Raw genomic sequence first — 24451 nt, forward strand, 5'->3', positions numbered from 1 at the left:
GGAATGAAGAACCAAGAAAAGAATCAAACTGAGTGCCACAAAGCTAGCAGAATGAGTACAGAATAATTTTAACCACAAAATGTCAAAGTCAAATCAAATTGAAAACTGCCTATTCTTTAAGAAGCATTAATTTCCAGAAGTCATACAACTAAGCAAATTAAAAAATTTAATAATAATCTTCATTCTGTTTTTTAAAAGTCTTAAAATTGTGAAAACATAAACAACAAACCTGGTTGCCACATTCTGTTGAAGTTTGAATCCCCTTGGAAATTCCCATGATTGTTTGGACCAGATTCCATTGTAGACATATCTTGTCCATTTGGCATCATTCCTGGTGGTTGTTCTACCATGCTTTGCTGTCCTGAAGCTTCTCTTTGGGCAATCCAAGCTTGGGCCAATGCAGCCCAATCAATCTGGCCTAACGTAAATTAACACTGACTTCAGCATTCAGAATGTAGGAGTTAAAAGAATAGTGCCTCTATGTAAAATAAGCAGCTCAACTATTCCTTAGATCTTAAATATTTCAGACAGAGAGGGTATGAGGGAAATTAGAAAAATTTTTTTTGAATGAGATCTTAAATATTAAAGCATACTGTGTCTGAAAGGGTACTTAGCAAATAACCCATATTCAGGCTAAAAAATAATATAAACTACTTACACTTTCAGGAAAGAACTCCACAAAAAACACTCTTAACCCATTTCTAATATTAATTCATATAAAATTTATCCCCTGCATCTTAGTTTACTGAATTTTTAAATGTCATCACCTTTACAAAAAAAAAATCACCACAAAAATAATCAAACGCTATCATTTCTTCCTTCAACATGTCCTATTTATCTTTCCAGGCCTGCATTCGAGCCTATAGGCCTTTGATGAGAGCAGCTACCTAACTCTGTTTTTCCTTATGGTTGCCCTTCTTTAAATAAGGCTCCCTTCTCTAGCCAAAACATGACTAGTGTAGTCTGGCTACAACTTCTTAGCCAGTCTTTACTCAAAATTCATTTCCCCACTATCTTGAAGACTCTCTTCCCAAGATACATTTTTTTAATTTCTAAATTTTTACGTATCTATCCATCCATCCATCCATCCATCCATCCATCCATCCATCCATCCATTCATCCATGATCCATCCATCCATCCATGTAGAGTCTGGGTTATGAGCCTGGCTAATTTTTGCATTTTTGGTAGCGATGGGGTTTCATCATGTTGCCCCGGCTGGCCTCAAACTCCTGAGCTCAAGCGATTTGCCCACCTCAGCTTCCCAAAGTGCTAGAACTACAGGCATGAACCACCGCACCTGGCCTCTCTTCCCAAGCATCTACATTTAACATTTCAAGATCTTTTTAATAATTTTTATTTTGCAAGTCCACCCAAAAATGCATTAAGATCTAATATTAATAAAGTAAACAAAGTAGAATAAGATATGTTTTTCTGCATCTTACTTTAATGAAGATTAAATAGGTATTCTCAGTTTGAAACACTGGCATAACCCCTATGGGGTTACACATGGCAATGTGCACCTGAAATTACCGTGACTTAACAAACCTAGCTCTTTTAATAAGAAAATAATTGGACAAGTGAATAACAATATGTACACAAGATTATGCTAATTGTTTCAAAAAGTGAAAAACTTTAAATAACAAAACACCCAAAAGTGGCTTTGTTAAATTATGGTACAATCCTACAATAGAATGATACATGGCTATTAAAAAAAGAAATAGCATCAGATCAATCCAGTGAGGGCAGAGCAACGTAAGTGGTCTTACGGATGAAACAAAATTGGCCACTAGTTAACAATTGTTAAAGCTAAATAATAAACAAGGGCTCCCTATACTCTTCTACCTTTGTATGTGTGCCTGAAATAGTCCACAGCAAAAAGAAATTTTAAAATGATATAGCACACCATCCAGTTCAATATAATATACAACTTTAAGAGTCAGAATTCACAGAAGTGTTCTCCATAAGCAACATATTTTAGGCTTTTCTCTTTCTTTAGAAAAACAAGGACTAAATCAGTTTAAAAAATGTAAAATCTTCAAAAAGCTTTCTACATTTTGAGAGTCTTCCAAAGGGAAGTCCATTTCCTGCTATATATGCTATGGCAAGGCTATTTATGAGAAGATTAAATTCTGACCATAAAATGATCCAGTACACCAATCTCAATTCCATATCCCTTAATCCCATCATGTGTCTTCTACCCATTTCCACATATCCAACCCCGCCCTTTCAAATTCAATTTGTTTCCTTACTTGGATCCTGTTGGTGCTGGAATGACTGCATCCATTGTTGCTGGTTCAAGGGCCACTGCTGCCAAGGCTGTCCTCCTTGATCCCACATCCCTTCTTTTAAAATATACTTGATTTTCTATCTTCAATAAATTAAACATAGTTTAAAAATTATAGTGAGTTATTTAATCTTAAAACCTCACATCAGAAATTATTATATGATGATACATTTATTTCATCAGAGGTCTAAAATTCTTGTCAATAGCTTGCCAGAGGCAACTAGAATTTTTAGGGTACCAAACGAGGTAGAAAATTTTATGTTAATGCTGGTCTCAGAATTTGGTGGCAAGCATAACACAATGAATTTAGCTCAAAAAAGACTTTAAAAAAAACTCTATTTTTTGTACAATATAAATTTCTGGATATGTAATTATTTTGAAGATTGTAGGAAAAAAGTGATTTCATTTCTCCCCAATCAAGATTCCTTTAAGATAGTAACCAAATAGCTTCAGCAGATGAAGAAAAATTTTTCCTTATAAATAATTACAGCTAAAAAAATGAAGAATGTAGAACAGAATTAGAAAACTATCATATTGCCAAAAGTAATAAAATATTAATTCAGGAAACCTTACAAGAAAAGTTGATGAGAAATCAGAAATTCAAAGGTTGCCAAAATATCACCCCTACAGATTATTAGGTGTCTACTATGCTCCCAGAATCACTAAGAATTCTCATCAAAAATGTTTAACTGAGTCCAACTGAGCTTTTGGATTTTACTTCCAATATAAAGCAATTTTAAAGGATAAAGAAATGAGATAAACGGTATTAAATCCAGAAAGTAAGACAGCCTCCAAGACCTGGTTTCTTAACATATAAATAGCATGGAAAAGATGGGAGGGAAGGTACTTTATGTTAATAACTATTAATTTAGGAGATGGTATGGGGGGGAATCATCACACTAGCCCAACTTTTCTGTAAGCTAGTCTGAAAACATTCCTAATAAAAGGTTTAAAAGTCTTACAAGTCTAATATCTTTGTACTTTATTCCAACACTGATACACAACCCTGTTCAAGAACCAGTGACTCACATAACCAGGGCATGGTTTCTTCTTTATTTTTGTATCCCAAGGCTTAGTTCATAGCAGGCATTTAATAAATGTTTACTAAATGAATCCTTCTAGATTGATCCTTTCCTGTATGCTAAAAACAAGATAAAAGCAAGCCTTTGTATTGCAGGATCACAAAAAGTAGGCAAGTTGGATAACAAAAAAAATAGAGATATTAACTCTAATAGGACAATTGGCGATTACAATTCAGGCTTTTAAAGGTTTCCAACTCCAGTCTTCGCAGCATTCCCAGAATGCCATACAGGTATAGTTCTATCTGCGGCAGATACTAATCCCTCAAATGAAGAACACTGTGAGTTATGGGAGGTGTATTTCTTTGTCACCTTGATTTACTTATGAGTCAAATGTACCTGTCTTCAAGTTACACTAATGTAATCAATTACAATGACATTATTAGAATATGGCAAAATAGGCACTACATAGCACAAATGAGGCCAACAACTGGTTTGGGTATCAGTTCCAAGTTAAATATATTTTTTTCTAACCTCTGTTCAGTGTTTCCTTCTTCCTCCCCTTTTTGTCCTGTCCAGTTTCCCAAGTACGCCTTTAGACTCCTTTAAGGCTAAATAGGTTATCAGAGCCCTTGAAAAGTAACTTCGCTTACAACTTTAATTAAGAGTTAACAAATAAATAGGAAACACCAAGAAGACACACCAACTGCTATTTAAACTGACCTCAGAGGTTCACCTTCTGTTTAAAACTTAGGTTGATTCAGACTACAGCTTCGAAGCATAGCAGCAAGATTATGTATGCCCTAGGGGGAAAAAAAGTAGATGTCTGCTTATAGATTATCATGATTCACATAAAAATAAATTCTAGAGATGCAACATAAGTGTGATCATCTCCAAGTTAGTCACTTTTCCTTGCATTAACTTTATAATGGGGAATTATTTTATCATAATAAAATCAAGGAAAAGAGATACACCAGAAATGAAGAGGCAAAGCTTTTTAACATCTTTTTTTCTTTCCAAATCTTTTATTTACTTGAACAATTCCTTCATAATAAAAAACAATGTCAAACAATTTAGAGATTGAGAAAAAAGGAACAACAAACATTTGAAATGAAGATCTCATCCACCTATTATTAACTTAGATGATACAAGGTAATAAAATGTATTAATTTAAATTTTCCTATAGAATTCTATGTTTAGAAATTAACATTAGCAAGGAGAGAACAGTTTGTTCCTGAAATGGTTTAGTTTCCTTTTTATTCAATCAACAGCTTTTTACAGTTGAAAGAAAGACAAATTTATTCATCCTTTTATCTTCAATAAGGTACAAGAAAGCATCTTGCACATAGCAGACACTAAATAAATAATCAGTGTCTAGCTATTACTTTCTGTTTAAAGGCTAATGATGAGGAAGCTGTTAACTTCTACTTATGAGAACCAAAAAGCTTGCTGTGCTTTCCAACGCTTTAACAGCTTATCAGAGTTCAATGCATAATTTTTCTGTCTTAAGTTGTAAACTCATATAATACAGACATTATCAACAGCTCTATAAAGTGCCTACTGAAACTGAAAATGTGCACTTACTAAAACCATTTAAATGATGAAAATGATGTATAATGACTACCTACCATCATTCCCAATCCATAAATTTACTTTTCCAGAAATTACTCTAAATAAAGGTTATTTTTCTTACTCATGTTTAATGGTTGTCATGGACAACTTTTTTAGTTCCCCTTTTAAGTTTTCTGGTCACCACTTGTCACCTAGACTTCAGAGCACAGGCTCTGGTTCAGGATGCCTACCTACATCCGTTCGTTAGTGGTGTGAACATAAGTAAATTATGCTCTAACCCTTGGTTTTCCAATCTGTAAAACAGAAGACCTAAATGTCTATACCCCAAAGGATTATTGTGAGGATTAAATAAGAAACACATAAAAACTAAGCATCAGAAGTTTCAATTCGTGGTGATTAATATCAATACTAGAGCTTTCCCACCATCACTTTTGGTAGCACTCTTCAAGTTAACAACTATTAGGGGGTTTTAAAAAAAAGGTGATCGGCCGAGCGCGGTAGCTCACGTGTGTAATCCCAGCACTTTGGGAGGCCAAGGCAGGTGGATTACCTGAGGTCAGGCATTCAGGACCAGCCTGACCAACATGGTGAAACCCCCGTCTCTACTAAAAAATACAAAAATTAGCCGGGCGTGGCGGCGGGCTCCTGTAATCCCAGCTACTTGGGAGGCTGAGACAGGAGAATTGCTTGAATCTGGGAGGCGGAGGTTGCAGTGAGCCGAGATTGTGCCATTGCACTCTAGCCTGGGCGACAAGAGCGAAACACCATCTCAAAAAAAAAAAAAAAAAAAAAGTGATCAAGCCAACCCACTTCTGCTCAACTCCATTTTCTTTTCCAGAAGCAATCTAAAACTTACAGAGGTTTCACTTTATCTTTGAAAGAATTCTTTAGTCTAAATTTGTCTTCCTGTTTCATGGGTTGAAACTTTTATTGTTATTATTATTATTATATTTTTTTTGAGAGGCAGTCTCGCTCTGTCGCCCAGGCTGGAGTGCAGTGGTGCAGTCTGGGCTCACTGCAACCTCTGCCTCCTGGGTTCAAGCGATTCTCCTGCCTCAGCCTCCTGAGTAGCTGGGATTACAGCTGCTCGCCACCAAGCCTGGCTAATTTTTGTATTTCAGTAGAGACGGGGTTTCACTATGCAGGTCAAGCTGGTCTCGAATTTCTGACCCAAATGATCTACCCACCTCAGCCTCCCAAAGTGCTGGGATTATAGGTGTGAACCACCGCACCCAGCTGAAGCTTTTATTAAAAAAAAAAAAAAAAGTTTTCCTATGAACAGAGGTTTTAATTTGCATATTTTCAAGGGTTTGATTTGTATCACCTATGATCATTTTTCTGTATGTTTAGAACAGCCACTTCTACTTTTGCTATATTTTTAGAAGCTTTTCTTCCCCAAAGTTTTGATGGAAGCTACTATTCAAGTAATATAATGTTTGGGACACTTAGGCTGAGAAAAATAGAAAAAAGATGTGAAATTGGGAAAAACAGAGCAGAATAAAAATACAGTAAAGAAGGTGATGGTAAGTTAAGGAAGTTAGAGGCTATTTATTAAAGCGCTTTAATTAAGTCTGGAGTTGAGAAACTTGATTTAGTTACAGAGGATGACTACTGGATGAGGGCACAGGTGGAACACCAAATGGTTAGTCTTTTTAAAAGACAATTTACTGGCTGGGCACGGTGGCTCACGCCTGTAATCCTAGCACTTTGGGAGGCTGAGGCAGGTGGATTACCTGAGGTCAGGAGTTCAGGACCAGCCTGGCTAACACGGTGAAACCCGTCTCTATTAAAAATACAAAAAAATTAGCCGGACATGGTGGCACTGGCCTGTAGTCCCAGCTACTCCGGAGGCTGAGGCAGGAGAACTGCTTGAACCCGGGAGGTGGAAGTCGCAGTGAGCTGAGATAGCACCACTGCCCTCCACCAGCCTGGGTGCCAGAGCGAGACTCCGTCTCAAAAAAAAAAAAAAAAAAAAAAAAAAAAAAAAAAAAAAGGGCAATTTACCATTATGGCATCTTAACAAAACGTACATGCACATCCCTCTGACCCAGCAATTCCACCGCAGGGTCCTAAACCATGAATGTGAATATTCATACCATAATTCAAAAATTGGCAGCATATTTTGTAACAGTAAACATCTGGTTTCAGTGACATTAAATTAAAGGCAAGTTAAATAAGTTAGAGTGAACCATACAGTTGATTCCTATTCAGCCATTAAAATGAATAAGGTAGACTGCTACATACTGGCATGTATTACCGTACAAACTGCATTAAGCGAAAAAAAGGGACTACAATCTGTCCCTTTTCTACAAAATTTTAATATAAGTCCAAATTTCATTTTCATGACCAGAGTTACCTGTTTTGGATAAGATTATCAAAATTTACTCTAAATCCTATAAGAAAATGAGATAGAGGACATTTGCCCAATGTCTCACAGTTGAAGAAGTTTGTGTAATTTGTACTGCCTGTACTAGTCATTATGGACTGTGTTCATTAGCTTCATTTGATTCTTTGTATCTTTAAAAATCTGTATTTTTTCTAAAAATACACATTGACAGAATAAAATAATTAAAAGAATACAGAAAAATATAAAATAAAGATTAAAAATACCTGATTCCTATTTCCAATTCCTAGAGCTTGGCAGTTTTGAGAAGATTTTGTAATTTAGTAATTTTCTATACATAACTGCATTCTTTTTTTTTTTTGAGATGGAGTCTCGCTTTGTTGCCCAGGCTGGAGTGCAGTGGTGCGATGTTGGCTCACTGCAAGCTCTGCCTCCCAGGCTCACACCATTCTCCTGCCTCAGCCTCCCGAGTAGCTGGGACTACAGGCGCCTGCTACCACGCCCGGCTAATTTTTTGTAGTTTAGTGGAGACAGGGTTTCACCCTGTTAGCCAGGATGGTCTCAATCTCCTGACCTCGTGATCCTCCCGCCTCAGTCCCCAAAGTGCTGGGATTACAGACGTGAGCTATCGCTCCCGGCCCATAACTGCATTCTTAAAAAGAAAAGGCCTCAAGTGGCATCATTTTTCATGCATTGGGCAAATGTTCTCTGTCTCATTTTCTTATATGATTTAGAGTAAATTTTGATAATCTTATCCAAAACAGGTAACTCTGGTCATGAAAACAAAATTTGCACTTACATTAAAATTTTGTAGAAAAGAGACAGATTGTAGTAAAGACTTGTTTTAAAACTAGGAAATACTTAAACTTTTATATATGTTTCAGCACATAGCACAATGCTTGATAAGGAGTTTCATTAACTATTGTTTAATTAAACAGTAAGATTACTAGTGATTTTATGGCAAGGATTTAGGAACACTACTCTTTCTTCCTTCATCTTCACCATAGTATCTTCACTACTAACAAATCCAACAAATGCAAAATCTAGAAAACAGAAGGAATACACAGGCACAACACACAGTAATCAATGGATACATATTTTAAATTTCACTATGGTTTAACAAAATAACATAACGTTGTACCATTAAAAATGACATTTACAAGTTGGTTTAAAAATGATTTGGAAAATGTTGATAATTTAAGGATGGGCATTTGCTACCCTCTTCTTTACCACTGTTTGAAAGCTTTCATTTAATAAGTTAAAGATGACATACAATAATACTTTTTATAGAGGGTCTGCATTAAATTTTCATGTTTTTGTCTTGGCTCAAACAAAAATCTTCTTTAGGGGAGAGAAAACATTTTATAATAATTTAAATTCTCCATAATGTTTTGTCCATGTTAAGTGGTTAAATATTTATAATTCACTGAAATGTTAGCAAGTAAATACATTAATGTTCAACCATGAAAATGACATTCCAATATTGCTACTGTGATTTTATAATATCAAAAATTGATTCCAATTTATTCACTCTTCCTTTAGACTTAATTTTAAAGCTTGTTAGGCTTGGGTTTTCAAGTTTGGAGAAATTTGATTAATGACGGGCAAGGCTGCAAGACTTTCCTAACAGTATTTCCCTTCATGTGGTAAAGTGAACTGCTATTTCCTTGGAAAACAAATGGGGTCTGGGAAGAACAGAAAGATGAATAACCAAGGTTTGTATCAGATCATCAAAGCCACCACACACTGCCGCAAAAAAATCAAGTGATAGCTATCACCAGTGTTATGGAATGAATTGTGTCCCCATCCAACAGATACACTGAAGTCCTAACTCCTGATACTTGTGAGTATCAAGTGATACTTGTGAGTATGTCCTTATTTGTAAATAGGGTCTTTGCAGATGTATTCAAATTACAGTGAGTTCATATTTGATTAGGAGGGACCTTATTAAAAAGGAGACATAAGACACTTACAGGGAGAATGTAACATGACCACAGTGGTACAGATTGGGAGTAGATGGCTCTATAAGCCAAGGAACATCAAGGATTGACAAGAACTACCAAAAGCTAGGAAGAGACAAGAATCCCCTACAAAGCCATTAGAGAGCATGCCCTACCAAAACCTCAATTTTACACTGTTAGCCTTCAGAACTGTGGAAGAATAAATTTCTGTTGTTTGAAATCAGCCAGTTTGTGGTAATTTGCTACAATATCCCTAGAAAACTAATACAACCAGAAATGGCCATCATCTATTTTATCCTTTTCTTAAATGTATCTATATTAGAACTTCATCGCTTTGAGGTCCTAAAACAACTTGTTTAAATGACAATCATTTATTTATTATTGAGAAATTCTCACTCTGTCGCCCAGGCTGGAATGCAGCAGTGTGATCTCGGCTTACGGCAACCTCCACCTCCCAGGTTCAAGCAATTCTCATGCCTCAGCCTCCCGAGTAGCTGGGACTACAGGTGCATGCCACCGCGCGAGGATAATGTTTGTATTTTTTAGTAGGGATGGAGTTTCACCATGTTGCCCAGGCTATCCTCAAACTTCTGGCCTCAATGATCCATCCTCCTCAGCCTCCCAAAGTGCTGGGACTACAGGCATGAGCCACCCCGTGTGGCCAAAATGACAATCATTAATATTTACAAAAGTCACTCAGAGACTGTGACAGAGATGGATGAGAATTAAAATGTGGTATTTTAAAGTCCTTGAGCATCAACTACAAAATCAAAGAGCTACAGAAACACATCTATCATTTGATGCATAGGATGAAATATTTCTCAAATCAACCACAAAGCTGAGAAGCCAGAAAATACAACAATCCTCTTCACCCCTGACATTTCAGTCTTACATGAGTTGACTGACCTCAAAGTCAAAAAAGAATTTATTTGTTTAATTCAGATTAGGTGGAAATGGCACTGGTAAAAATTAATCTTGTAATCATTCGAAATACGGAAAACAGAAATTTTGCTACTTTATGTGACATGCATTTTAGTATATACTGAAATACTTGCAGCTTGTAGCTCAAAAGACTATTTTAAAAGTGGAGGACAAGCATGGCGGCTCATGCCTGTAAACCCAGCACTTTGGCAGGCCAAGGTGGGTTCATCACTTGAGGCCAGGAATTCGAGACCAGCCTGGCCAACATGGCGAAACCTCCACTCTACTGAAAATACAGAAATTAGCTGGGCATGGTGGCATATACCTGTAGTCCCAGCTACTTAGCAGGCTGAGGCAGGAGAATCACTTGAACCCGGGAGGCAGGGGTTGCAATGAGCCAAGATTGTGCCACCACTGCACTCCGGTCTGGGAAACAGAGTGACACTCTGTCTCAAAAAAAAAAAAAAAAAAAAAAACTGGAGAATTGGAGAGTCGGTTATAAATACCCCCCCAATAATAATTTAAAAATAAATGTAGCGAGAGCGCCCAAAATGACACCCTAGTAGCAACAAGCACACCTAGGCACGAGAACTTGGTTTTAATACCATTCTTCAATAAAAGGAATCAGAGATCTTTAAAGAAATAGCTGACTCTAGGACTGCGACAGGAAATATAAAAGATGAGTCTGGGGCATGTATACTGCCAGGAAGCAATAAAGTGCTAAAAAAAAAAAAATTGATAGGAACATGTCAAAGGAGAACAGTAGACAACTCGAAGAGCTGCCAATGGCCAAAGCTGGTACAATTTGAGCAACAAAATAAAGAAGTACTGGATTATAATATAAGTTATGTAATAAACATCCACAAGCCCATAAGGATATGATAAAATAAACTAACAAATAAATGTGAGGGAAGACACAAATCTCCCACAGAGAATTCCAAATAAATTATGTAAATATTCCACCCTAACTGAGGAAGAGCACAACTGTCCATTCAGTAAGCGTGGGCTCTGCAAAGTGACTTCCTTCCAAAGAGAACAGTATAAAAAGGGGTGGGGGAAGTAACTTTACAGTGGATAAATCTAACAAACGCTACTCCAGAAGGATGATCAAGGTCAGTAATAATGTGATAAGTCACCTTGATAGTATGTATCCTTGATAGCATGTGTTGAAAAGGGCATCTTACCTCTGTGATCTTCCCCTGATATAGTCCGTAAGGCCATTTTAATCATGAGAAAATCGTCTGGCAAATTCCAATAGCAGGGCACCCTACAATATACCTGACCATACTCCTCAAAAAATGTCAAGGTCACTGTATTAGTTTGGTATGCTTGCCATAACAAAGTACCAAAGACTGGGTGGCTTAAGCAACAGAAATTTATTTCCTCACTGTTCTGGAGGCGTATAGTGTAAGCTCTATGGGGTTGATTTCATTCTAAGGCCTCTCTCCTTGGCTTGTGGATGGTTGTCTTCTCCCTATGTCTTCACATGATCATCCCTCTGTATCCTACTCTCTTCTTATAAGGACAGCAGTTATTAATATATTGGGCTAAGGTCCACCCTAGTGACCTCATCTTCTTTAAAGACCCTCTCTCCAAATACAGTCACGTTCTGGGGTACTGAGGTTAGGACTTCAAGATACGAATTTTAGAGGGGCACAAGTCAGCCCTTAACAGTCATCAAAAACTAGTTAAGCCTGAGAAACTGTCACAGCCAAGAATATACAGCCTAAGAATATACAACAACTAAATGTAATGTGATATCCTAGCTGGCATCCTGGAACAGAAAAAGGACTTTAGGTAAAATGTGAGGAAGTAGGAATAAACTATGGACCTTAGTTAATAATTTATCATTATTGGTTCATTAGTTGCAACAAATGTACCATACTAACATCTATTAATAAGAAGATAAACTGTGTGTGTAGTGGGGACGTCGTATGTGCTCAACGTAAACAAAAACTGTTCTAAAACATAAAGTCTATTAGTAAGTTAAAAAAAAAAACTCTCAAGAACATCTTTAAAGAACTGTTTTCTCTATAAGCCCTTTGCCACTTTACAAAAAAATTCCACAAGTAAAATCTTTAGTAGTCTGGTTGCTGTTGTTTTCGCCCTGCTGCACTCAAATGAGGAATTCTAAGTTTATTTTGTTTTACTTGGGGGCAGGGGGAAGTAAAAAGATGTAAAAGATTAATGTTGAATTAAAATCTTAAGCTAGAATGTTAATTTAACAACCCACAAACAAATTTGTCTAATGCTCAATTTGTTCAGATGACGATACTATCCACCACAGGGTAAAAAACTGAAATATTGGATACTACCTTTAGCGAAGCTTAACACATAATATCCATCATTGGGTAAGAACACACGAAAAACACAAACTAAGGAACTGCGCCTGCGTAGTCAGAGCCTCAAAGGGTATAAGCTCCAGGTCGCGAGCCCCCGCCTCCTCCGCCCCCATGAACCCCCTTCCCACAAGGGGGTTCCCACTGCGCACGCGCAGTGTTTAACGGCCGGTCAGGAACCCAACAATTAGTCCCTTCTCGTCCGAGAGGAAACTCTGTGAGAAGATGGGACCGTGAGCACTCTCTTTAACAAGGACATTTCCTTTTCAGCGAAAGCAGCGCTCTGATTTACCAAGTCTGGCGGACCGCAGCGCTTTAAAGGAATGAGGTTCCAGCGGTCGCGCCAAGCAGCGTACGCAGCCTATTTTAAGTTATGCTACCTTCGCCACAGAAACCAAGAACGTTGTAATGGTCCGGCAAGTGCCCACGTATAATTGTTCTCCATCACTTACCCACTCTAGTTCGGGAACACCCTTGTCGCCGCCGTTCCGGTAACACCTCTCCAACGCTTTCGATGCTTCTACTTCTTCGGGAACAAGACAAGATGGCGCCCGATTTGTCTCACCCGGAAGTAAAGAATAATAACATCCGTTTGTCATCTGAAGCCATACCATCTCTCATCCAGGTTTGTGAACACGTGATTGTGCGGATTGACATGTTTCGGCGCCATTTTTTTTGTGGGCAAAACCATCTCTACTCTGGTCAACACCGGGCAACTGAACCATTCCTGCACGTTACTTTTTAACGTAGCTGGCGCCATTCCCGACCCATCTTTATAGTGGCCAGAAAGCCAAGAACGTAAGTGTTCTACACATAGGGCGCCTTCAAATTTTTTACTTTAGCAACGTGATCTTCCTTTAAGGGGAAGTATGTTCCCTCCTAGAAACACTCCCGCCTTGGAGAAGGGGTTGAGTTCGCAACTCCACTTACAGACTACGGAGGAACCCCAGGGTCAAACCAAACCAAACCAATTCTGGCCAGTTGCTTAGCGCAGTTCAAGTTACTTAGTGCGCTGGAAGCGGCATTTCAGGCAATCCAACTTCTGGCTCGAACCTTCTCGGAGTATTCCAAGGATGGAATACTCTCACTTGAGCGCTGCCGAGGGTGCCGCTTGAGGAAAACGTGAGTTTGTGAAGGTGAGCAGTCTGGGTCGGTAGCGAAAGCGGAGACCTTAGCTGACCCCGCAGCTGTCTTTCTCTTTGTTAACCTCAACACATCGCGCCCCCTTCCGGGAACACTTGCTCTTCTCTCCTTGGCTTAACTAGTCCCGGTTTTTCATTCTTTATCCGTGACTTTTAGGGAACCGTGGGGGGGAAGTCTGGTTTCCGTCCTGCTGCTTTCCTTCAACTACAAGATGGCTTCTCAAAAGGACGCATGCAATGCCATTCCTCAAAGACAGTATGTTGATTTCACAGTGTTTTTATATGAACAACGTTCAAGTGTCAAAAGTATCAATTTCCAGGCTAGGAGCTACAAGTTAAAAGGAAAACAAAAATGTTCCAAAGATACAGTGTTTATTAGCTACATCTTGGGAAGTGCCTTTCCAGAGAGTAACATGAAAACTTCTGCGTGACAAAGTGCACGAAGTATCTGAATTATTTCATTGGGCAATTGTCGTGCAAAAGAAATAGCAAATTACCGTAGAAACAAAATAGTAAGAGCACAGCTAGATGGATAAAGATACAGATGTGAAAATATAGATGCCCTTTGCATGAAAATTCAGTTTTCCTCAGCACTAGAGACCCAGATACTCCTGAATTAGCATTATAATAAAGTCGTCACTAGCTAACCATCTGCCTTTCCTCCAATCCACGGACGTGGTCCTCAAAATAACATTTTATCTTGTGAGAAACCTTCATTAATTACACCTAACAACACCATGACGCAGGTTCATGAGGATACTACTGAAGGCAAAAGGAAATCCCTATTTCTCTGACCCTTTCCCTAATTTCCACTTAGCACAAATAAGACTACTGGACAGTCTGATTTTAAAAAATCACTGTATGGGCCGGGCTTGGTGGCTCCCGCCTGTAATCCCAGCACTTTGGGAGGCCGAGGCGGGCAGATCACTTGAGGTCAGGAGTTCAAGACCAGCCTGGCCAACATGGTGAAACCCCGTCTCTACTAAAAATACAAAAATTACCTGGGCGTGGTGGCAGGCGCCTGTAATCCTAGCTACTAGGGGGGCTGAGGCAGGAGAATTGCTTGAACTCAGGGTCAGAGGTCGCAGTGAGCCGAGATCCCTCCACTGCACTCCAGCCTGGGCAACAGAGTGAGTCTCTGTCTCAAAAGAATAAAATAAATAAAAACCACTGTATGGAGCAAAAACTAGAAGGACATATACCACATGTTATCAGTAATCTCTAATTTTGCTCTGTGATTTTGTGCATTTTCCAAGTTTTTTGCATCAGGTCTGATTTTCAAGTTTAATTCTCTGAGAAACATTCTCATCAGAGGAATGTTCTATCTTCTTAGAGAAACCTGATTGGCCTAGTGAAACTGTCATGTTCCTACTCTCTATAATCATATTGTAATTCTTTGCTTGTTTCCCTAGTAAAGGTGAGGCAATTTTCGGGTAAGGGATTTCCCCCTCACCTCTGCCCTCCAAGTGGCCAGCATCTGCTTTGCACACAGAAATTTTTACATCTGCTATATGTTTGCATTAATATGTTCAACAATGATCCTAATGTAGGCCAGTCATTTTGGAAATGCATTGTGAAGTGGAGAGGATTATTAAATACCTCACATTTTGTTCCTTGTGCCAGTTTAATGAGACACCCTCAGCAATTGCTATTTACCAGACCAGAAAATGAATTTTACAGTTCCAATTCCAGTTCCCTTTCTCTAACCACTCTGTTCTAAGAGTTCCCCGTAACATTATGATCTTATGGACACATCAGGTAAGTGTATGTATTTCAACACAGAATTTTCTAAGAATGTGTGTTGTGGTGTTAAATTTCTATGTAAGCAGCTGTCACGTGCATGATCTGCTGCAGTTTGATCATCCTGCGCCTGGATCATCAAATGCTTAGCAGCCATCATTTTACCAGTCTTATCTGACAATCTGCTGTTAATGACTAACAACCAGGGGACTTTATAGGTTAAAATTTTTATTAACTTCCTCTGTTTTCAGTGTTTAAAGTAGAAAATTTGGCCAATGTGGCTCACGCCTGTAATGCCAATACTTTGGGAGGCCAAGGAGGGTGGATCACCTGAGGCCAGGAGTCTGAGACTAGCCTGGCCACCATGGGGAAACTGCCTACAAAAAAATACAAAAATTAGCTGGGTGTGGTGGCCCAGCTACTCAGGAGGCTGATGCATGAGAATCACTTGAACCCGGGAGGTGGAAGTTGTAGTGAGCCGAGATCGTGCCACTGCATTCCAGCCTGTGCTACACAGCGAGACTCTGTCTCAATGAATGAATGAATGAATGAATGAATGAATGGAGTGAAGTAGAAAATTCTAGGGGAGGACATGTCACCTTCCATTATTACAGAAACAAATTATCCTTAAAGCAAAATGGAAATAAGCTAAGTAAGATGATATGTGGAAAATATATCGAAATAGGAACTATTGCTGTTTCTTGAGATTTGAACCTTTATAGTGTTATTAGGTGCCATATCACATCCATCTTAAAACCTAATAAAAATTTAAAGCTGTGGTATATATATACAATTGAATATTATTCAGCCTTAAAAGGGAATGAAATTCTGATACATGCTACAATATGGATAAACCTTGAAAACATGCAAGATGAAATAAACCAGACACAAAAGGACATATATTGTACAATTTCACTTATATGAAGCGCCTAGAATGGGCAAATTCACACAGATGGAGAGTAGAATAGAGGTTCCCAGGAGTTGGGAGAAGGCGGGAATGAGAAGTTACTGTTTAATGGGTACAGAGTTTCCGTTTGGGATGATGAAAGAATTCTGGAAATGTGAATGCACTTAATGACCCTAATTATACACCTAAAAATGGTTAAAGTGGTAAATTTTATGTTGTATATATTTTACCACATAATACAATGGAGGATGAAAAATATTTAAAGCTAGTATGCTACAGGCACATCATTACAAATTACAACTTTTTTTTTTTTTTTTTTTGAGATGGAGTCTCACTCTGTTGCCAGGCTGGAGTGCAGTGGCGTGATCTTGGCTCACTGCAACCTCTGCCTCCTGGGTTCAAGCGATTCTCCTGCCTCAGCCTCCCAAGTAGCTGGGACTATAGGCGCATGCCACCACGCCCCGCTAATTTTTGTATTTTTAGTAGAGAAAGAGTTTCACCATGTTGGCCAGGATGGTCTCGATCTCTTGACCTCATGATCTGCCCACTTCAGCCTCTCAAAGTGCTGGGATTACAGGTGTGAGCCACCGCACCCAGCCTACTCTTTGATTCTTAATATAGTTACTTAAGCATTTCCTAGATAGTAGTGAATCTGGCATAATGAAATACGAGGGTATAAAATAATACTTTAGTTATTTAACAATAGATCCCATTGGGCTTTATGCAGGTATTGTCCATTTAGGCCAGGTTGGAGAAAGTAAGGTAAACTTATGTTCAATGACTGCCTGTTCTTACCTAAAATCTTTTGTGATTCAAACTTGTGGGGAAAAGCAAGAGAGATCAGATTGTCACTGTGTCTGTGTAGAAAGTAGAAGACATGGGAGACTCCATTTTGTTCTGTACTAAGAAAAATTATTCTGCCTTGAGATTCTGTTAATCCATAACCTTACCCCCAACCCCGTGCTCTCTGAAACATGTGCTGTGTCAACTCAGAGTTAAATGGATTAAGGGCGGTGCAAGATGTGCTTTGTTAAACAGATGCTTGAAGGCAGCACGCTCCTTAAGAGTCATCACCACTCCCTAATCTCAAGTACCCAGGGACACAAAAACTGCGGAAGGCCGCAGGGACCTCTGCCTAGGAAAGCCAGGTATTGTCCAAGGTTTCTCCCCATGTGATAGTCTGAAATATGGCCTCGTGGGAGGGGAAAGACCTGACCGTCCCCCAGCCCGACACCCGTAAAGGGTCTGTGCTGAGGAGGATTAGTATAAGAGGAAGGCATGCCTCTTGCAGTTGAGACAAGAGGAAGGCATCTGTCTCCTGCCCGTCCCTGGGCAATGGAATGTCTCAGTATAAAACCCGATTGTACGTTCTATCTACTGAGATAGGGAAAAACCGCCTTAGGGCTGGAGGTGGGACATGTGGGCAGCAATACTGCTTTGTAAAGCATTGAGATGTTTACGTGTATGCATATCTAAAAGCACAGCACTTAATCCTTTACCTTGTCTATGATGCAAAGACCTTTGTTCACGTGTTTGTCTGCTGACCCTCTCCCCACAATTGTCTTGTGACCCTGACACATCCCCCTCTCGGAGAAACACCCACGAATGATGAATAAATACTAAGGGAACTCAGAGGCTGGCGGGATCCTCCATATGCTGAATGCTGGTTCCCCGGGTCCCCTTATTTCTTTGTCTCTGTGTCTTTTTCTTTCCTAAGTCTCTCGTCCCACCTTACGAGAAACACCCACAGGTGTGGAGGGGCAACCCACCCCTTCAAATCTATCTACAGATGAGAAGCCTACTAAAATTTTAAGAATTGTATTAAAAACACACACAAACCTTGGCTACAACAACTTGTGGCTATTCCAAATTAAGAGAAATTACAGTCCCTAGTCATCTAAGAAATGGTCTCAAAAAAGCTGTGCAACTCCCAAAGTTGGCATATATATCCCTCAGTAGCTGTTCAGATGTAGCCATGAAGATTAAAAAAAAAAAAAAAAAACAACAACAAAACTTTCCCAGAGGTTGGACTCTAGAGTCACGGAGAACAATATACAAGGGAATTCTTCCTAGGAGATAGAAAAGAACCCTAATCATGAATATACCCCATACCTAGACTTAGGGATCCTAACTGTATCTCCCATTCTTCTTCCCCATTCAGAATGTTTGTTGCAGATACAGTTCCACCACTGTACATTAAGTATGTGGAAAACAGAAGATATCCTTTTGGTTCCTGGGTCTCCAGAACAGTAGGAGCAAACATCCAAATCTGATATAGCACTTCCAGAGAGCCTGGTCTTGGAGGATAAAACTTTACCTTGATGGGACTTTTGGCCCCGGTCCCTTAAGAGTTGGGATTTGGGGTTGTACTGCAGCACAACTCAGCCTATCCTAATACATATGGGAATGCAAACATCTCAGATATTTCTTCTTGGGTGCAATTTAAAATACGTATGAAATGGCTTCAGAAGTGTCCATGAACCTTCAAAATTACATACAAGAATTAGGGAGATACATTTTTCTGGGAACATACAGATGTTAAGACTTCCCTTCTCCGTCTCTATATTGCCAGAAGAGAGGGCCCCAGAATTAAAACCCCATCCTTCCTACAACACTCAGCTTTCTCTTTCAGGAATATCAGTACTAATATCACCATGCCTTTTATCTCTAGGATATCTTCATCCCCTGTACCTTAATTTCTGCATGACTTCATAGGGAGTCCATATTGCTTGATTTTTCTCCATATCATTACCATTGACATAAATTTTCCTTACATTCTTAGAATGTGTATTTCCTCACCTTTTAGATTTCTGGCTCTTATGTTGACTGCTGTATCCCTAGTACCTACCACACAACAGGTATTCAACAAATACTTTTTTTTTTTTGAGACAGTCTCTGTCACCCAGGCTGGAGTGCAGTGGTACTATCTTGGCTCAGTGCAACCTCTGCCTCCCGGGTTCAAGCGATTCTCCTGCCTCAGCCTCCCAAGTAGCAGGGATTACAGGCCTGTGCCACCATGCCCAGCTAATTTTTGTATTTTTAGTAGAGATGGGTTTTTGTCATGTTGGCCAGGCTGGTCTCGAACTCCTGGTCTCAGGTGATTTGCCCACTTTGGCCACCCAAAGTGCTGGGATTACAGGCATGAGCCACTGTGCCTGGCCTAAAAAATACTTACTAAATGACTAAACAAATAAAAGATAGTCTCTAACTTTCATCATAATCTCAAAGAGCTTCATGATCTGGAAGAAGTTTAGACACAAATGGGTAGGCAAAGTATTTCTTAATTGCTGGTGCAAGACCTTACCCTTGTCTTAATAATTATCCTGTCTAAGTAATACACCTTTTAAGAAACCCCTGAAAGGAAGATGATCGTCCTTGGTAGATACTGAAATCTGAGGTAAAGTGGCCCATAAACTGTTTTGAAATAGAGAATTTCTAAAATATGTAGGGTATTTTGAATATAGCTGAGAAAGCTGCTATGAACTGAAGGTTTACGTCCCCTACAACATTCACAAATCCCAAATGTGATGGTATTTGGAGATAGGGCCTTTGAGAAGTGATTAGGTCATGAGGATGGAACCCTCATGAATGGGCTGCATGGAAAAGGACCCACAGAGATGCCTTGTACTTTTCCCATGTGAGGACACAGCAAGAAAGCACTGTCTTTATGAACAGAAGTGGGCCCTCACCAGACCCCAAGTCTGCTGGCACCTTGATCTTGAAGTTCCCAGCTCCCAGAACTGTGAGAAATAAATTTTTGTTAATACACCACATAGTTGATGGTATTTTATTATAGCAGCCTGAGTGGACTAAGACATAAGCAAATGCATTGTTGATAAAACATTCTGTCAATAACGTAAACTGTGAAAATTCCAGGACCAATCTTGTAACATGAGATAAATAAGAATATTTATTATGCATGTTTTATACAGTAACACCAAAATAACGCTCAATAAGTTACACAGCTGTTTTCTAGAAACATGGCAAAAGAAAAAAAACAGTAGGAATAATATGTATTACTCAAAATTGAAAATATGGTCATCTTTTAAACATTTGAATTCATGATTTCTACGTAAACAAAAACATCATAAATATCTAGAAATAATCTTTTTTAACAATGCACTAGATACTATCTAAAGGCTCAATTTTATTGCACATATTTGGTTTAGGCTTATTTGATCAATACATGCAGAAAAATAAATTACAAACGTGAATTTTTAAAAGGAATCAGGATGTCATTTTGTACTACAAAAATTAGATGAGGGTTGATACATTTCACAGCTTAATCTTCAGAAAATTTTCTTCAGCTATTGCATAAAATCACTGATTAAAATCATCACACATGGAAGCTAAGAACTATTAAATACAGTAAAATAGCTCTGTTGGTACATTTAAAATAAGAGAACAGGCATCAACTATTCTTTGAATTGATACCAACTGTCTTCTTTTTATTTATTTTTGAGACAGGGTCTCACTCCGTCACTCTGCAGGAATGCAGTGGTGTGATCATGGTTCACTGCACCTTGACCTCCTGGGCTCAAGCATCTTCCCCACTCAGCCTCCCAACAGCATGAGCCACCATGCCTGGCTAACAAATTGATACCAACTATCACTCTTCTCAGCTACCTAAAAAGGTGGTCTTCACAAGTTTTAAGAACATTAAATGACAATATTGGCACATAATCAATATTTTATCATTTTATATTTGGAAAAAAACGGGAAGCTGGGGTAAACCAGTTTCTAAATAAAGCTAATGAAACTTTAATTCATTCAAACACTATGGTAGTTATGTTGATGATAAGTAAACATTATTATTTATTTATACTGTTTCCTGAGGTGATCCAGAAACTACTGTTATTATAGTAGACTTGCTACTATATACATTTACTATCCCTGCAAATGTGCTTTGGAAATAATAACAAAAATTTTAAGGTAGACCCATGTGTAATTTAACATGCTTTCTCTGTTACAAAAGCTATCTTTAGGAAATTCTTAAGTATCAAAAATCCAATTTATTCCATTTTCAGAAGACAAGGAAAAAGCACTCATAAACTCTAGGCCATAAAAAAATAGGTTTCATAAGTAGCTCCTTTAACATGAAGAAAATGACAATAAAAATATCTTACTTGCATGTTACTTCTGGAATAATGTCAAAAATCTATGTAGATCTTTCCATTTTAAATGATGTTAAAATAGTGTCAGCACTGTGACTGACTCATAGCAAGTATGGGTATCTATCCAAATATTTGTCTTTGAAACAAGAAACAAGTGACCATCCGATGAAAAGTGCATGCCTCTTAACAGTATCTTTCTGTAAGAAAAATTAGGTGATCTATATTTACATTTGGGCAGTGGGGGGATGAAAACTGCTCTTACCAAGATGGCTGACTTGAATAAAGACAGTCAATATTTTTCAAAAAATTCACTGCTCTGGTACTGAGATCTCCATGATAACAGATTACAGTTAAACAGAAAATGCTGTGAAATACCTTTTACAGAACACAGCCTGACTTTGCAGATTAACTTAAAGATATATTTCTTGATTATTTCACTGTTAAAAATCAAGAAAAACACTACTAACATTTCAACATCTTAAAAATAGAATTTATGCAATGACATTTTTAAGCTCTGCATTTTGTATACTATTACCGTCTTTAATTACAGTTATGTTCATCCATATATCAAAAGGCAGCACTGGTAACCTTGATAACATTATATATGCTTATGTGTTTAAGACAGTCTTGATTAAATATTTCCATACCTTATCTGCAGCCACTATTCTTATCCTTTCTTCCCAGGAGGAGAATGAAGTGGGACTAGGCATTTACCTGGCACTTGCCTGCACTATCATTCATTGGCACTAATGATTAGGATGCTTGAACCATGCAGTTTTGTTTCTATTTCAACAATATGACACTGAAGTAGCCATTATCTTTTGATATTTAAGCCTAAGTAATAGTATATTCTTCATGCCAAGTTTTGACAGCTCAATAATTTGTATTCTAGAGGGGAAAAATGATATTTTTGCTATTATTTAAAAAGAAAATCAAAAATGCCAGCTTAATGCCCCATTAAAAGCTAAATTCACCTGAACTTATTAATGATGCTTGCTGAAGACAAAGTGATTTCAAAACCCCAAAACTGTGTTTAGTATTTACAAGAAGTAGAAAAAGTATATATTTTTCTGTTAAGAATATAATTCTCTATCATTTACAAATATAATTTGGTAATTTATATTTCAAAGCTATCCTATGGTCCTATATGGATTATCAACTTCTAATTGCCAATTCTAAATGTTATAATCATCTATATTGGGCCTTGGCCAACCACCTGCAAGTTATCCTTAACTCCACCATGAAGAGGGTGCAAGAGATATGTTTATGAAATGCCTCAATATAATTCTAGTTTTTCAAAACCTCAAGGTAATAAGCTAACCAGCAGATTATTTGTAAACCCACACTACTGAAATTACAGTGACACCCTTTTATATGGTTGAATTGTATAAAATATGACCAGGGAACTACACCGTATTAGGTGTTACTTCATGAAATTATGTGTTATAGCAGTTTCCTAAATGGTAGTACACATATATACCACTAGATGGCCCTGAGATGATTTTAAGTTAAGTGGTACGTGGATAAACAATTTTTAATAGTTTTACTTTAATATTTATTATAAAAATATAAAAGCACATAAAACACGGAATATGATTGCTCAAAACAAGACTAAGGTTACAAAAGGCTAAAAATATATTTTTTAAAATAACCATGATATAGAATATGTGAGAGTTCAGGAAGGTGGCATTACATTTAGGAATCACTGTCTCAAGGAATGATTTGACTTAGCCAGCATCATTTCTGAATGCTTGTAATAATAAGCCACATCATAAAGGGGTTTCCTTTCCTACTGTAAATTCTGGGAAGTTTTTGTACCCCAGAATAAATACCTGGAAACAAAATTCACATTTATTTTAAGACTATGAATTTTAAAGCATTGAGTAAATTTACTTTAAAAGGGTTCACCAAAATGGTGAAAAAGTTCAGGACCATTTGAGGAACATGCTATTCCTACAGAAGAGGGAAGACTAGAAAGGCACATTATATATTATAGTTATCACTGTGGCATTCAAAAACAAATGACCTAAATAATCATTACCATTAATAGTTATAATACTCTTTCATAGAAAAGAAGGTAGGCTTGTGCACTAAGTGCTCTTGATTCTGGAACCACCTGTAAGTAAGTGTCACTAACATGGACCCACTGGCCTGCTGATTCATTATCAGCCGCTTTCAAACCTAGCAAAACAAAAAGAAGTACAATTTTAAAGTAAGTATGCTTTAGGTTCTTACTCTAAATTACAAACAATAACATATTCATTACAAACTCTATCTAATGCCAAATTTTACCTGAGAAGCCTGTTTTTTCTTGGGTTAAGCATTTTCCAAAAAGAACTTTTTTTTTTTTAAATTATATTTTTAAGTTCTGGAATATCTGTGTAGAATGTGGTTTGTTACATAGGTATACATGTGCCATGGTGGTTTGCTGCACCCATCAACCTGTCATCTACATTACGTATTTCTCCTAATGCTATCCCTCCCCTAGCCCCCCTCCCCCGACAGGCCCAGTGTGTGATGTTCCCCTCCCTGTGTCCATGTGTACTCATTAGAACAAATTCTTTCAAAGCATTAATATTATAGGTATAATTAATAATGCTGTCTGGCCCAGCGCAGTGGCTCATGCCTGTAATCTCAGCACTTGGGGAGGCTGAGGTGGGTGGATCACTTGAGGTCAGGAGTTTGAGACCAACCCAGCCAACATGGTGAAACCCCGTCTCTAATTTAAAAAACAACAGACATTAGCCGGGTGTGGTGGCAGGCGCCTGGAGTCCCAGGTACTTGGGAGGCTGAGGCAGGAGAATCGCTTGAACCCGGAAGGCAGAGGTTGCAGTGAGCCGAGATCCTGCCACTGCAATCCAGCCTGGGTGACAAAGTGAGACCTCATTTCAAAAACAAACAAAAAAAGCAAAGTTAGTTGGATGACCCATAAACAAAGCCAGCAAATTTTCAACTCCAACTCTTCTGACAATCTGATATGGCTTCAAAAACTTTTGGTATTGTTAAATAAAATGCTACTCCACTATAATACACAATGACTCAGTACCTTAAAATACCATGTCATCTCATATGACCTAGAAGGGTACAGTCTTCATAATATTTGAGAT

At 38.2% G+C, this 24451-nt stretch overlaps 2 protein-coding genes and 1 long non-coding RNA gene across 34 annotated transcripts in view, besides 10 other annotated features; 1 reads left to right on the forward strand and 2 right to left on the reverse strand.

Moving 5' to 3' along the window:
- Positions 1-12987, reverse strand: part of PNISR (PNN interacting serine and arginine rich protein) — a 27259-nt gene extending 14272 nt beyond the window's left edge. For 6 of the 16 annotated variants that reach the window (NM_001322414.2, NM_001322416.2, NM_001322410.2 and 3 more), the window contains exons 1-4: positions 12894-12987; positions 4028-4107; positions 2251-2369; positions 230-418 (exon numbers count right to left, since the gene is read on the reverse strand). In NM_001322414.2, the coding sequence (NP_001309343.1) occupies positions 230-418; positions 2251-2338 (277 nt within the window). In that variant the 5' untranslated portion in view covers positions 2339-2369; positions 4028-4107; positions 12894-12987. Of the gene's footprint in view, positions 1-229; positions 419-2250; positions 2370-3314; positions 3427-4027; positions 4108-12893 lie in introns of all 16 variants that reach the window. The other 10 variants (NR_136326.2, NM_001322415.2, NM_001322413.2 and 7 more) reach the window with 4 other exon arrangements.
- Positions 12288-12808: an enhancer, noted in NCBI's record as "NANOG-H3K27ac-H3K4me1 hESC enhancer chr6:99872485-99873005 (GRCh37/hg19 assembly coordinates)". NCBI's record gives its function as "activates a minimal SCP1, AML or CMV promoter by ChIP-STARR-seq in naive and primed H9 embryonic stem cells {active_cell/tissue: H9 hESC(naive and primed)}" and the evidence as "EXISTENCE:reporter gene assay evidence [ECO:0000049][PMID:30033119]".
- Positions 12288-13989: a biological region, named in NCBI's record as "MED14-independent group 3 enhancer GRCh37_chr6:99872987-99874186".
- Positions 12465-12645: a silencer, noted in NCBI's record as "fragment chr6:99872662-99872842 (GRCh37/hg19 assembly coordinates)". NCBI's record gives its function as "represses an EF-1alpha promoter that drives an FKBP-Casp9 reporter gene in an ReSE screen in HepG2 liver carcinoma cells {active_cell/tissue: HepG2}" and the evidence as "EXISTENCE:reporter gene assay evidence [ECO:0000049][PMID:32094911]".
- PNISR-AS1 (PNISR antisense RNA 1) lies at positions 12550-18994 on the forward strand. Its single transcript, NR_125843.1, has 3 exons — positions 12550-12793; positions 12903-13066; positions 18392-18994. It is a non-coding gene; the product is annotated as a PNISR antisense RNA 1 (long non-coding RNA).
- Positions 12629-13098: an enhancer, noted in NCBI's record as "active region_24854". NCBI's record gives its function as "activates an Ori minimal core promoter by ATAC-STARR-seq in GM12878 lymphoblastoid cells {active_cell/tissue: GM12878}" and the evidence as "EXISTENCE:reporter gene assay evidence [ECO:0000049][PMID:35858748]".
- Positions 12790-13989: an enhancer, noted in NCBI's record as "MED14-independent group 3 enhancer chr6:99872987-99874186 (GRCh37/hg19 assembly coordinates)". NCBI's record gives its function as "activates an origin of replication core promoter dependent on BRD2, BRD4, P300/CBP and CDK7 cofactors, and independent of MED14, by STARR-seq in HCT116 cells {active_cell/tissue: HCT116}" and the evidence as "EXISTENCE:reporter gene assay evidence [ECO:0000049][PMID:35650434]".
- Positions 12809-13328: an enhancer, noted in NCBI's record as "NANOG-H3K27ac-H3K4me1 hESC enhancer chr6:99873006-99873525 (GRCh37/hg19 assembly coordinates)". NCBI's record gives its function as "activates a minimal SCP1, AML or CMV promoter by ChIP-STARR-seq in naive and primed H9 embryonic stem cells {active_cell/tissue: H9 hESC(naive and primed)}" and the evidence as "EXISTENCE:reporter gene assay evidence [ECO:0000049][PMID:30033119]".
- Positions 13329-13849: an enhancer, noted in NCBI's record as "NANOG-H3K27ac-H3K4me1 hESC enhancer chr6:99873526-99874046 (GRCh37/hg19 assembly coordinates)". NCBI's record gives its function as "activates a minimal SCP1, AML or CMV promoter by ChIP-STARR-seq in naive H9 embryonic stem cells {active_cell/tissue: H9 hESC(naive)}" and the evidence as "EXISTENCE:reporter gene assay evidence [ECO:0000049][PMID:30033119]".
- Positions 13449-13668: an enhancer, noted in NCBI's record as "active region_24855". NCBI's record gives its function as "activates an Ori minimal core promoter by ATAC-STARR-seq in GM12878 lymphoblastoid cells {active_cell/tissue: GM12878}" and the evidence as "EXISTENCE:reporter gene assay evidence [ECO:0000049][PMID:35858748]".
- Positions 13552-13846: an enhancer, noted in NCBI's record as "tiled region #16; HepG2 Activating DNase unmatched - State 1:Tss, and K562 Activating DNase unmatched - State 1:Tss". NCBI's record gives its function as "activates a minimal TATA promoter and a strong SV40 promoter by Sharpr-MPRA in HepG2 and K562 cells {active_cell/tissue: HepG2 | K562}" and the evidence as "EXISTENCE:reporter gene assay evidence [ECO:0000049][PMID:27701403]".
- Positions 13739-13788: an enhancer, noted in NCBI's record as "active region_24856". NCBI's record gives its function as "activates an Ori minimal core promoter by ATAC-STARR-seq in GM12878 lymphoblastoid cells {active_cell/tissue: GM12878}" and the evidence as "EXISTENCE:reporter gene assay evidence [ECO:0000049][PMID:35858748]".
- A 1009-nt stretch (positions 18995-20003) lies between the features above and the next one.
- USP45 (ubiquitin specific peptidase 45) overlaps positions 20004-24451 on the reverse strand; it is an 85522-nt gene continuing 81074 nt past the window's right edge. For all 17 annotated transcript variants that reach the window (NR_144344.3, NR_144345.3, NR_144346.3 and 14 more), the window contains one exon: positions 20004-23525. Coding sequence is in view for 14 of the 17 variants with exons in the window: in XM_005267170.5 (XP_005267227.1) it covers positions 23395-23525 (131 nt within the window). In the remaining 3 variants the exon portion in view is untranslated. The remainder of the gene's footprint in view (positions 23526-24451) is intronic.

Source organism: Homo sapiens, chromosome 6 (assembly GCF_000001405.40).
Source record: "Homo sapiens chromosome 6, GRCh38.p14 Primary Assembly".
NCBI lineage: Eukaryota > Metazoa > Chordata > Mammalia > Primates > Hominidae > Homo > Homo sapiens.